General features: G+C 41.3%; 1 protein-coding gene across 4 annotated transcripts in view; it reads right to left on the reverse strand.

The window, feature by feature from the left end:
• The window catches only part of NCEH1 (neutral cholesterol ester hydrolase 1), an 80,819-nt gene that overhangs the window by 8,288 nt on the left and 58,273 nt on the right, over positions 1-14,258 (reverse strand). Inside the window, exons 2-3 of one of the 4 annotated variants that reach the window (NM_001146277.3) lie at positions 9,360-9,578; positions 7,087-7,156 (exon numbers count right to left, since the gene is read on the reverse strand). In NM_001146277.3, the coding sequence (NP_001139749.1) occupies positions 7,087-7,124 (38 nt within the window). In that variant the 5' untranslated portion in view covers positions 7,125-7,156; positions 9,360-9,578. Of the gene's footprint in view, positions 1-7,086; positions 7,157-9,325; positions 9,579-14,258 lie in introns of all 4 variants that reach the window. The other 3 variants (NM_020792.6, NM_001146276.3, NM_001146278.3) reach the window with 3 other exon arrangements.

Raw genomic sequence — 14,258 nt, forward strand, 5'->3', positions numbered from 1 at the left:
TTCTTGGGGTGGGGGGTGGGTCTCAATTTTTAATCTTCAGTATTACCAAGCTGAACTTTTAATTTTAATAAAAACAAATGTACTTCATGACTCAAGTTGTGAAAACAAAGGTTATTTCATTTCAGCAATATCCCACATATCACAATAAACTGTTTTCCTGGTTGCCCAGATGGTCAGAACATATCCACTAGCATCCATATGTCAAATAAGTTGAGTTTTTAGATGTTATTTCAGAAAAGGTCTGAGAGACTTTGATCAAAGGCAATTGGTAACCTAAAAAAAACATGCTACTGCTCAATCTTCTCAATTAATAATTGGCTTATATAATAGGATAAACATGCTTAAAAACAAACAGGTTATGATGCAAGAGTGTTCCTGGTGCCATAAAGATCCATGGCCTAACCCCTCCCCTCATCTGTTTTCATGCTGGAAACATTCTTCAGTTTTACTCAATAAAAATGGACACTTTTGGCCAGGCACGGTGGCTCACCAGCACCAGGCATGGTGTAATTCCAGCACCTGGGGAGGCCAAGGTGCGCGGATCACGAGGTCAGGAGATCGAGACCATCCTGGCCAACATGGTGAAACCCCATCTCTCCTAAAAATACAAAAATTGCTGGGTGTGGTGGCATGTGCTTGTAATCCCAGCTACTCGGGAGGCTGAGGCAGGAGAATCGCTTGAACCAGGGAGTTGGAGGTTGCAGTGAGCCGAGATCACGCCACTGCACTCCAGACTGGTGACAGAGTGAGGCTCCGTCTCAAAAAAAAAAAAAAAAAATGGAGACTTTGTAGACTGAAGAATATCCTGAAAGTAGATATTTATTAGGTTACCTGGCATAAGATGAACTTTCAAAGTAGCTTGAAATTCACCTAAGAAGTATATCAAAATTTTGTAATATCTAGACACAGAAAGCCAAGAATCAGGAGGAAATTCATGGGTGGTACAGCCAAATAAAGCATACATAAATATATCTGCTCTCTGCTGCTGGTGCTCAAAGCTATGTCCCTGCAAAGTAGTGAAAGAGGGTTCTGACATTCAATATTTAAAAACTGCAGATCTTAAAGCACCTGATACGTAAATATCAAAGATGTTATATCATATTAATATTATGGATGCATATATATTCCTCAATTTGCCCAACTCACTTCAGGGAGAGGATGACTCTGCAATGACAAGTGGATTACCTAGCTTTATCACTGCATGTAACTCCCATCAGAAGAACAAAATTTGGTGTAAATTCAGGCATGAGGTTTAATCAAATTAATGTGTACAGTCTATCAAAATGACCATATTCCTGCTGGGTGAGGTACCTTGCCAAATGTTCTACAGACGTATGTCACTCAAATCTCAAGCAAACTTCTGGGTTTAAGGATGAGAATGTGAGGTTGAAGGAAAATGTGTAACTTGTCTGTAACAGCTAGAAGTGGCAGAACTGGGATCTGAACTCACAACTGACTTCAAACCTATGCCCCCAAGCCCCGAATGACACCAATGTGCTAAGAGGGTTGAAATGCGCAATTCTTCCTCAAAATAACCTAACCTGGAAGCCATATGCACAACCTTCTGCTGTGGAAGGGACGCCAAGTTCTCTTCATATAGTACTACTTAGGTGAAAGATACATGCGGCATTCTGGAATAAAATTATACTCCTATCAGATTCAGCAGGAGAGAGGATAAGCCTCACTCCTTTTCCAGCTTTTTTACTTTTCACCATCACCCAAGAAAATCTCAATAGATTCATTTTGGGAACATAAAAGAGTTAATATTCCCCACTGTCTTAGGGGTATTTTTAGTAGGGGATATCCAAAACAAATCAATAATTAAATCCAGATTGTGCTCTCTGAGTGAGACAACTCCAGAGGGAGAATCTATTTATTCCACTAACAGAAGTTTCCTTTCTACTGTTGCATCACAAGGTCAAAAAAAAAGCAAAGCTTCCTTTCTTCCCTGCCCCCTTTATTTATTTATTTTATTTATTTATTTATTTTGAGACGGAGTCTCGCTCTGTCGCCCAGGCTGGAGTGCAGTGGCACAATCTCGGCTCACTGCAAGCTCTGCCTCCCAGGTTCACGCCATTCTCCTGCCTCAGCCTCCAGAGTAGCTGGAACTACAGGCGCCCGCCACCGCACCTGGCTAATTTTTTGTATTTTTAGTAGAGATGGGGTTTCACCGTGTTAGCCAGGATGGTCTCGATCTCCTGACCTCGTGATCCGCTCGCCTCAGCCTCCCAAAGTGCTGGGATTATAGGCATGAGCCACTGCGCCCGGCCCCCTGTCCCCTTTAAGAGACAGTCTTGCTCTGTCACCCAGGCTTGAGTGCAGTGACACCATCATAACTCACTGCAGCCTCAAATTCCTGGCCACAAGCAATCCTCTCACCTCTGCCTCCCTAAGTGCTGGAATTACGGGTGTGAGCCACTGCATCCCACCCAGAAGCTTCCTTTTCATTAAAAGAACATATAATAAAACTGTGCTCGAGGGGAAGGAATGTGGATGGATGACTGTTTCTCCAAAACTGCACCATTGCACTCCACCCTAGGCAACAGAGTGAGACTCTGTCTCAAAAATAAATAAATAAAAAATACATAAACTAGAGGTAAAAAAATACTCTATTATAGTTAAACTGCACTGAAATTTATAAATATAAGGCCTTTTATATTCTAGATTGTATAAATGAGGATACATCTGCAAATCTTAGATAAACACTGTAATGTATTTAACAAATACTTATTGTGCAATTAATATGTAAAAATAGTATAGCGTTGTAGAAGCTACTGAGTAGGAGACATAGCTTTTACGTAGGTTTTGTACTCAAGGACTTCACCTATCAGTCATTTGGTCTGTCCCCAGACCCTTGAGCCAGCATGAGTGACATGAATCATGGAGTCCCAACTCCTGGTGCTCATAAGAGGTGATTCCATTACCAAGGCTGCTGGAACCCCTGCCCACCAGCTTCCTCAGATAAAAACCTTCCCCAGTGCCATAATCCACATGAAAGAATAGCAAAGCCATGACGCCACTACCCACTCTAGAGGGCCTCAAGGCAAGGAGCTGCTGGCTCCAGACAGCCTGTCTTCTAGAAGGCGGAGCTCCAGAAGAACCAAGCGTCCACCATCCTCCTAAAGACTCTTGGAATCATCCACACTTACTTCTGTTTTCCTCAGTCGTCCCTCCGTCTGTCTTCTCTCACATTTCATTCCCTCACTGCTCTCTGCCTCGTCCCTCCCCTCCCAAGCCCTCTTACTACACCACTTTGGTCTTCCATGACAAATCCACTTTTTCTAATGAGGTTCTGCTCATTCTTAGGGGTTTCATCCAAACATCACTTTCTTTAAGACACCTTTTCTGATCCTTTAAACGAGGTAAGATCTTGCCTGTTAGATGTCTCTGTTACTACTTGCCCTTCTACTTCCCATCACTTATCACACTTTTAACATTACTTATTCAAGGTCTTTCTCTTCTAGATCATAAACTCTATGAGGGCAGGAATTAAGTCATTCTTACATTGTTATGTCACCAGCATTTAACACGGTAACTAGCACAAAACAGGAATCCAGTAAATATTTATGGAATAAAAGAAAGAAGAAAGAAGCGAGCCACTGAGATCCCGCTCTGAACTGCTTTTTTTTTCTATTTTTTTGTTTTGTTTTGTTTTGAGATAGGGTCTCTCTCTGTCACCCAGGCTGGAGTGCAGTGGCGCAATCTCAGCTCACTGCAGCCTTGATCTCCTATGCTCAAGCAGTCTTTCCAACCCAGCCTCTTGAGTAGCTGGAACTACAGGCATGCACCACCATGCCTGGCTAATTGTTTTTTAACTTTTTGTAAGACAGGGTTTTGCCATATTGTCCAGGCTGGTTTTGAACTCCTGGACTCAAGTGATCCACCTGCCTCAGCCTCCCAACGTGTTGGGATTACAGGTGTGAGCCACTACACCAGGCCTGAACATCGTTTCCAAGAGAAACATCATGATCATATAATGTTGGCTGTACCTCAACTACAGCATAGGTTATAAAGTGCTCTTGGGTTAGCCTGAATCTTAACAAGGATTACTATCTTGCTATTTCTACAAAAAAAAAAAAAAAAAAAAAGAAAAAGAAAAAAAAGTACTGTGAGTTCCAAACATGCTGATAAATAAACGTGTAAGTTGTCCTTTTCATTCTATAGGCTAGATAGAGCAATAATCCTCCAGACTCAGCTAGTGCTTTTGAATATCTGAACTCCTCTTATATCAATTGTCTAAAATGATTCTCATGACAATTCTCTGCAGTCATTATCCCAACTCAGCATGCATTTACCTAGCATGCACACTCCAAGCCTTGTACTGGGTTCTGGAGATGCAAAGGAAGGAAGACGTGATTTCTGTTTCCAGGAGTTCACATTCTTTTGTTTTTGCTTTGTTTGTTTGTTTGTTTGTTTTTTGAGACAGAGTTTCGCTTTTGTTGCCCAGGCTGGAGTGCAATGGCTCAATCTCGGCTCACTGCAACCTCCGCCTCCCGGGTTCAAGTGATTCTCCTACCTCAGCCTCCCCAGTAGCTGGGATTACAGGCATGCACCACCATGCCAGGCTAATTTTGTATTTTTAGTAGAGATGGGGTTTCTCCATGTTGTTGATCAGGCTGGTCTCGAACTCCCGACCTCAGGTGATCCACCTGCCTCAGCCTCCCAAAGTGCTGGGATACAGTCATGAGCCACCGCGCCTGGCCTTTGCTTTGTTTTTTAAAAAATAGGGTCTCCCTGTGTTGCCTAGGCTGGACTCGAACTCCTGGGCTCAAGTAATCCTTGTACCTCAGCCTCTCAAGTAAGGCACACCACCATACCTCACTGTTTTCCCAGTAGCTCACATTCTAAACATACAGGAAGGGTTCTCAACCCCATTTTGCACATGAGTTTAAATGACCTGCTTGAGGTCACACAGTCATGAGTGATGGAACTTGACTGCCATATGCTCATGCCTCCCATCTGGACACCATGTTGTATAGATTAGGAACAATGCAAAGTTTAAATCAAAGCAGTCCCTTCTAAATTTTAGCCCTTTTCAAAAAAATCCTCTTAAATATATCTTATTCTTCTGTGTCTTATGATAAGCCTTGCAATACCCATTTTACTTGAGACAGATGCTGATAAGGGGAGAAGGGAATGGAGGAACGGTTTAGGGCATGTGGCCAAATAGTGATATTGAAGCCCGGAGGGTAGGCCCTGTGGTAAATGGAAAATCTGCACGGTGCCAACTGAAGCAAGCCCAGCTTCCCTCCTTTTCTCAGGCCTGCAAGGAGCTGGGGCTACACAAGAAACCAACTGAATGGCCCCTGAAGCTTGTTCCTCAACACCGAGCTGTAGGGCCTTGTCTCCTTAAACATCCCCTGTGCTTTCCTCTGGCCAGCTGCTCAGGCCAACTGCCCAAATCATTTCCTTGAAGGTTCCTGTATTACCAAACTGCACTGACAACCCTTGAGTAATCTGGGAGGCCTTGCTGAGAGTCCAGAAAGGTCCAGGTGCGGTGGCTGCTTCCTCAGCAGATTTGGCTCCAGCTGTCTGGACTCTAGGGCTTTTGGGTGACTGCAGGGCTTTTGGGTGACTGCAGGGCTTTTGGGTGACTCTAGGGCTTTTGAGTGACTCTAGGGCTTTGGGGTGACTCTAGGGCTTTGGGGTGACTCTAGGGCTTTTGAGTGACTCTAGGGCTTTTGAGTGACTCTAGGGCTTTGGGGTGACTCTAGGGCTTTTGGGTGACTCTAGGGCTTCTGTCAACAGGGTCAGAACTGCCTCAGTGACTCTGAGCAGCCCCTTTCAAGAGACTGCAGAAGAAAAGATCCACTCAAATCTGGAGTAGGAGCAAGGAGGTGGCGCACCATGAACAGGAGGATAGCTGACAGAGAGGCAGAGGGAAGAAGAGAACTGAATGAGCCTGGGGCAAGAAAAAGTGGTTGGCGTCATGGCCCTGCCACTCAGCATTATAAGCTCCCTTCAATAGTGGCTTGAAACTGGATCAAAAAGGTCCAGAGACCTCAGGAACTATCTGACTTATTCCCCTACCCCATCTATGCGATGAGCTAGCTATCTGGCCTTATGCACATCACTTAGCTTCTTGGGTCTCAATTTCCTCACTTATGAAAAAGATATCAAAATATCTTGGATGTTTTATATGAGAATTAAGGTGCTTCATTCATTCATTCCATAAATATTTACTGAATGCTCACCATATGCCAGGGATGTTTCCAGGCACTAATGATTCAGCAATAAACAAAACAAACAACAATCCTGAAATGTTTGCCTTTATAAAATTCATATTGTCTATTTCCACTTATTACAATAAACATAATAAGTCAAATATGTGGTTTGTCAGATATTGATGATAGCTTTGGAGAGAAATGAAACAGAGGAACGTGGGTTGCAATTTCACAAAGGCTTGTCAAAAAAAGGCTTGGCTGAGAGGATGGTATCTAAAAAAGACCTAAAGAAGAAGAGACACGTGTGCAAAAGCATTCGCACAATGCCTGGTACAAAAAAGATGGCGTGATTTTTGTGTTGTATTATTATTATCATCAAAATTATTATAATTATTATTCACATTCTTCTTAGTTGCCCAGAAAAGTGGCTTATACAGAACTGACAGAGACAACCCAAAATATTAATATTACTACTATTACTACTAACCACACCATTAAAATTTGTTGAACACGTATTTCTGTTCCCAAGGCACAAGTCATAGAACCTGACTCTAAGAGAGCAACTTTTTCAACTCTCAGCTGTAGAAGAGATTCTCTTAAAATCCTTACTACTTTTTAGATTTAAAAAGTTATATGTTGCAGGTAACTGATTGCATACTTCTCTAGGTTTTTAGTTAATCCTTTTTTCAGTTTTCAAAACTAACGGTGAAAAGGTAATTTGAAGTGTTATAAAGCTAGTTCAATAAATTTTGTTACATCAGAAATCATTTTTCTGATTATGCTGAGTGTGACTTTGGGCATATCTCTTTGCCAACTTGAGACCTTTATTTTTTACTTTATCACTTGTAAAACAAAGTAACCAGACTGTTATCTAGAATTCCTTTATAAGAAAAATTTTCTATGACTAGCATTAATTACTTACTCAATGGAAACAATGACAGCATTCAATTCCTCAGCCATTGCTGTACACAGCTCATCATAATACCTGATTTCTAAAAGACACAAAGGGAACAATCATTACAAAACAGGTCATTTAATACTGTCCACTCATAAATTCTGCTAAGTGTGAATTGTTTTTAGGCTTGGAGCTAATACTAAAAACAAATAATAAAAAGCAAATGTGAACAAATAATAGAGTTACATGTACACATGAAAAATTAAATCTGATTTCTAATAACATGCAACTACTATATAACAGGAAATGCATAGTTTAGTTTTGAATATATTACTATCTAAATATTTATTTCATAACGGACTATATGAAATGCACCAAATTAATCCTGATTTTATAGCTCTTCAAATGTATACATCTTTCTGGAAAAAAAATCACAGCAAATAAGCAGTCTCTTCCTTAGAATCATGCAATTTTAGGCTGGGAGTGGTGGCTCATGCCTGTAATCTCAGCACTTCAGGAGGCTAAGGAAGGAGATCATTTGAGGTCAGAAGTTTGAGACCAGCCTGAGCAACATAGCCAGATGCTGCCTCTATAAAAAAATTTTTTTTAATTAGCCAGGCATAGTGGTGCACGCCTGCAGTCCCAGTTGCTTGGGAGGCTGAGGAAGGGGGATTACTTGAGCCCAAGAGTTTGAGGTTACAATGAGCTGTGATAGAGCCACTGTACTCTGGCCTGGGTGACAGAGTGAGATCTTATGTCTAAAAATAATAATTTTAACAATTTTGCTCTTTTAACACTTCATTTGCTGCAGTTCAGTAAAGTGATCAATTTGAAGAATATGGTATTTTCTTTAAATGAACACGTAAAAAACTAGAATTTTAGGAAGTCTTAGCATTTCTTAGAGGATTCCAAAGGTCTGCAGTAACAGAACCAATTTAATATGTAAGAATTTAATTCTTAGTTACTCTCAGTAAATTAAGATCTATATTGTGCCAACTGAGAGCCAAACATTTCCTTATTTATAGGGTTTCCAAGGCAGTCTTAGAATCGGAAGCTTAAGAATTACATAGACACCTGTTACCTCCACCTGCTCAAGTTCTTCCTCAGGCAGAAGTGATCAGTCAAAATTATGCAGAAAAGGCCAGGCTGACTCTTGTAATCCATCCCATTCCTGGCACCCATACTTGCTGTCCTCCAGTACAATGTTTTTCCTGGCAAGCGTCCAATGCTACAGATTCAATCTCTTTTAAGGCAGAAACTCCTTCTTATTCATTTTTGTATCCCTACACCCGAGCACACCTTAGACTGACCAATGGTCCAGACTTGCCCACAACTGTTTGAGCTTTTGCACTGAAAGACCTGCAGCCCAGCAAACCCCTTGGTCTCGGGCAAACCTACATACTCATGAACAGCTATTGAAAATGTGAAAAAAAATCACTGAATAAAAGAATAAACAACGGATATGGAATTAAATAAGATTACTAGAAAAAGTCAAACCTTTTGACCTTTGTTGCTTTTAAAAAAAAATCACATAATGATAAAATAAAAAAAACAAGTTGCCATTGCTTTTAAACTAAGGGGATGCCAAAAGCTCTGGACTGAAGATGAGGAAGTAGCTCCATGATCATTTATTAGCAGAGACAAGACCCCGAATTCCGCCTTGGGAGGTTCTCTTCTGGGCGGCTCTGTTTGGCTGCCTGCCATTTTGAATGTGTTCTACTCATAAAAATCATCCAAATCTAAAGAAAATATTCTTGAACTTTGCAAGATTGTTTCCTTTGAATGGTTGCATATATTTTTACCTTTGCTTTCATAAGCAGATAAAATGTTAACATGTGTATTAAGGAATACCTGGTCTATTTCATAGAAATATATCTTCAAAACACAAGTTGGCAAAAGAAGCACAGATAATTCCCCATATGCGTGCCTGGTGAAACTTCACCTTGTTTTGGTGCAGAAAGCTGTATCAGCACTGCACAATAAGTTAGTCTGTGATTTAGATCATAGGAAATATTTTTACAACAGTCTACCTGAATTGACAAACAAACTAACAAGCAAAAAACCTTTACAAAGGATAACCATTTAATTTATCACCCAAACCAGGACCCTTTTGAGAGTGAAAAGGGGGCACTAGTCATAATTTTGCTGGGACAACAGGGGTAACTGGGACCATCCAGGGGAACCTAGATAAATGGTCCCCTTCTTTCCCACTAAGAAAGCCAAACTCAGTTACGCATCTCCCCCAAGGCCAACCACAACAACAAACCATCTGAAGGTGACCAGGACGCACTTGCACTTGCCAAGGCCCAGCCTCCTCCGTGGATATAAACGACGCTGCGTTTCAGTGGCTCTTCGGGCTTCGGAGGGCCTTCAAACACTCTGACTTCCACACCATCAAAGTCTGTGTCGGTCACCTTCACTTGGGCAGAAGACCACGCGCTTTTTTTGCCAAAAGAAACAATGATAAAATTCAGTGCCAGCAGGTGATGGCTCAGTCCCAGGTAGTGGATCAGGTTACTCTGCAGGGCGAGGGAGGAAATAAAGAGGGAGGGCGCACGTCAACTTGGCATCACCAGAGCTGCCCTCACCAACTGAGTGTCTGAATTCCTACAAGCAGCTGCCACTGGACTGGAGGGCTCATTGAGCCCTTTTAATACAAAAACCAATTGTATTTACCTTTTGCTTTTGGACAAAATATTTTCATACATGAGATCTCCTCAGGTATCATCAGTCCCATTTTATTGAGAAGGCTTAAACAATAACTATGCTTGTTCATTTCATTGGATAAGTGGTAGTTCTGGGACTCAAACCTAAGATTAGGTTTGAATTCCAGGATTCAGTACCTTTTTTTTCTAAATAAGTATATCACAGTTCCAATAACATACTAGGAGTAAAGAAATAATACTTTATTTCAATGCAAATAAAAGAGGAAAATGTTCTATTTACTTTAATTTCTTTAAATTCCTTTGTAACATATATTTGGGTGTGTCTTATTGCTTAATTTCTTTAAATTGCTTTGTAACTTCAATATATTTAATTGTATCTTTAAATGTGTCTTGTCCTTTTGAAAGGAGCGTGTGAGAAAAAAGAAACATTGTCAAGGGAGGCCCTGGCATTTAGAAGCAGCTCAGCTCAGATATAACCAGAAGCTTTTTAGAAATGAGGCAAAGACCATACTGCCTGATGGTCTCTTCCCTTCTGAACCCTCAGGGTATCAAGCTCTGCATTAAGTGTTCGCAGAAAGTTATTTGGTTGCAGAAGGAACATAGCAAGGAGACCTAATTTACCCACCAAGCAAAGACACTTCTGAGTTTATATCCTTCTCTCCACTTTCGCAAGTTCATCAGGAAGGGGAACAGCTGGAGAGTAACAGTGCTCTTTTGTAGATGATGAAACAGAACACTGGTGATTAATGATCATAAGATCACGGAAACAATGTTGCTAGCAGAAATCAGGACTATATGATGTCTGCGATGTGGCACCTTACAGCTTCTCAGGCTGTGCACAGCGTACGACGGTACACCTTGAAGAGGGTCCGTGTGTGCTCATCGCCTCAGCCTCTGGGCAAATTCCTGAGCCCTTTACCCCAGTGTCCCATATAAACATTATAACTGTGTGTGTATATTTTATATATACATACATATATATATATACACACACACATATATATATGTCCTGTCCTGTCATGAAAAGAGTTAGAAAGCACTATATTATAACAGCATTAGCAAATGTTAATGAAAAACAAGAACAAGAGGCAGTTAATCAAACAATGAACAGCTATTTTAGGAATTCCTTTAATATTATTCGCTGGCAAGTATAAGCAGCAGCAGAGCAAATGAATATTAAGAAAATTCAACTTCTACATGTGCCCTGACATCAACTGCCCAATTTACTGAACAAGTTGAAACTGTTCATGTCTTTGATACTAATTTATGCATGTGTACATGCACATATGTGTTCACACATGTACTGCACAGAGGATTCTAACTATCAACTTAAGTTCTTTGGTAAATTGGAAGAAGGCAATTACCATTCGAGTTTTGTGGTAAAATGTTAGTCTAATTTAGAGAATATTGAGATCTGCCAGGGAATAGCTAAGAATCACTGTATTTCCAAAGTTTCTAGAGTAGATATAATAAACCCTTGTTAACACCATTATCAATTAATAGGGAACATGCAAGCTCCATTCCACTTGTCACAGGACAGGTAGTTTGACTGGCACGAAACGATGAAATATGAACAAAGAAATGGCAGACCTGGCTCTGTTATATTATGAACTGTACTTTTCTTTTTAATTAAATGAAGACTTTCTTAAACACTTGAGACAAATTACATGAGTTTCTTTAACTATATGAAGCTGTAAAACAAGTGAATTGTCTTTATATGACAGATATGAGAAGACTGTACATTTTATAAGAGAGCCCACCTCGAGTTTCCTTTATGTAATGCATGCTCTGAGTACATGCGGGTTTGACTCAATTTGTTCACACCTTTCCAGAAACATCTCTCCATGTTAGCTTATGTTTCGCTTGCATTCACAGAATACTTGAACAACCATCTGCATTGTTTACAATAGCAACACAGTGGTGTGGGGGTAGAAGTGCTGATTAGAAAAGGGACAATTTGGCTGAGTGCAGTGGCTCATGCCTATAATCTCAGCACTTTGGGAGGCCAAGGCAGGCAGATCATCTGAGGTCAGGAGCTAGAGACCAGCCTGGCCAACATGGTGAGACCCCATCTCTACTAAAAATATAAAAATTAGCTGGGACCGGGTGCGGTGGCTCACGCCTGTAATCCCAGCACTTTGGGAGGCCAAGATGGGCGGATCATGAGGTCAGGAGATCGAGACCATCCTGGCTAACATGGTGAAACCCTGTCTCTACTAAAAATACAAAAAAAAAAAATCAGCCGGGCATGGTGGCGGGCGCCTGTAGTCCCAGCTACTTGGGAGGCTGAGGCAGGAGAATGGCATGAACCCTGGAGGCAGAGCTTGCAGTGAGCTGAGACTACGCCACTGCACTCCAGCCTGGGCGACAGAGTGAGACTCCGTCTCAAAAAAAAAAAAAAATAGCCAGGCATGGTGGCACATGCCTGTAATCCCAGCTACTCAGGAGGCTGAGGTAAGCGAATCGCTTGAACCCGGGAGGCAGATGTTGCAGTCAGCCGAGACTGTGCCACTGCAATCCAGCCTGGATGACAGAGCGAGACTCTGCCTCGAAAAAAAAAAAAAAAAAAAAAAAAGGGACAATTTGTTTATGCAGGGTAAAAGACAGGAATATGAAAGGGTAGGTAGATGAGTAGAAAAAGAATTTAGAGAACTGCTACAAGAAAAACTGTGCTAATGTTCACAATTGTATTGATAAATTAGAGTTATACTAGAGCCAATATCAAGACTGTTTGAAAACTTGAAAATTGATATGAACAGTAACCTGTTGTTAATTACTTTTCTTGGTACTATTATAAATAATAGCTATCACTGCCTGAGTGCCTACAGTGAGTGCTAGGGTAGGTTGCTGAATTCTGGCTACTATTCTGTGAGGTAGGTACTATTATCTTGCTTACAGAGAGAAGAGAACAGAAGCTTAGACATTAAGGAGCCAGTACAGAAGCTGGATTTCTAAAACCTTGAGGGGCTGCAGGACTTACAGAATTGCCTAGAAATGCTGGTGTAAATCAGTGTGGGTCCTGGAAGCTGCTCTGAGCCCTATCCAGTATGCGATAACATTTGCATGTCTATATGATATCAATGACAAACTCATGAATATTACCTAACTTTTTTTTTACTCAAATATCTTTCCCTTAGCTCTTCACATTACTCTCCTCCTACCATACTGCCCAGAAAATAAATTCAGTAGCCACACCTTTCTATAGTTGTTACTTCTTTGAAGGGCTATGAGAAAAAAAAGCAAAGAAACGGGAGTTCCTTCCTTCCTTTGGATTTTTAAAAGCCTGTATCTTTTGGAGAATCTTTTTTTTTTTTTGAGGTAGAGTCTCGCTCTGTTACCCAGGCTGGAATGCAGTGGTGTGATCTCGGCTCACTGAAACCTCCGCCTCCCAGATTCAAGCTATTCTCGTGCCTTAGCCTCCCAAGTAGCTGAGATTACAGGCATGCACCACCACTCCTGGCTACATTTTGTAGTTTTAGTAGAGACAGGGTTTTGCCACATTGGCAAGGCTGTTTTCGAACTCCTGGCCTCAAGTGATCCACCCACCTCCGCCTCCCAAAATGCTGGGATTACAGGCATGAGCCACCGCGCCCGGCCGAGAATCTTTTAAAAAATAGGCATTGATTTAGAAGATTACATGACGAATAAGAAGTCTCCTAGAATAGAAAGTGATTTCCCAGGCTAGATGGTAGAAGAGGGGAAGAGAAAGTGTTGCAGAGGAAATGAGGGCTGTATAGATAAATATCTGGGAGCCAATGAAAAAAGAACCCTGGGGTACAAAAACTCCCAGATAGGTCTGTGGAATCTGAAGCAGCTGACCCTGTGCCTCATACCCAGACAGAACCCTGGAAAGAGGCAAGACCTTAGGGAAGAGTAGATGCAAGGTATGTCTAGAAAGATAATGCCTCAAATGGCCTTAGAGCCCCAGGCTCCAGCTGGTGAGGGAAAAACAGAATGATTCTGTGTGCCCAGTGAAAGCATAAATGTAGCAGGGTCTGCATGAATGTCTTGCAGATGGACCTAAGACAATCTGTCTTTTCTCCACAGCCCATTATATGTACCCAAGAGTTCAACAGGAATAGAAATGTGTGCTAATGGATTTGAAAGATCTACTGTCTTACAGATAAGAACAAAGGATATCTCAGGACAAACTGTAAGGATCAAACACCAAGGATCGGGTGGAACAGTGATGTGGGCTGAGGATGAGTGATACCCACATGGCTTCCCCAAACCACAATGCCTCAGCACTGTATAAGATCCTCCAAAACCTAAAAGCAAACAGTGATGAGTGGGAATTCCTAAACTCACTGGGAATAAGTTTCCTACCTAAAGGATGAAGGCTTAAAATATAGATCAAGTTATATTTCCCTGAGCTTATGAAATCAGATTCAGAGTCACACAAGTAACATTCTGGAAGTAATAAAGTTTCCTGAAACCTCTATTTCTTTTTTTTAGACAGAGTCTCACTCTGTTGCCCATACTGGAAAGCAGTGGCATGATCTTGGCTCACTACAACCTTTGCCTCCCTGGTTG

This window comes from Homo sapiens, chromosome 3 (genome assembly GCF_000001405.40).
Source record: "Homo sapiens chromosome 3, GRCh38.p14 Primary Assembly".
In the NCBI taxonomy this organism is placed as follows: Eukaryota; Metazoa; Chordata; class Mammalia; order Primates; family Hominidae; genus Homo; species Homo sapiens.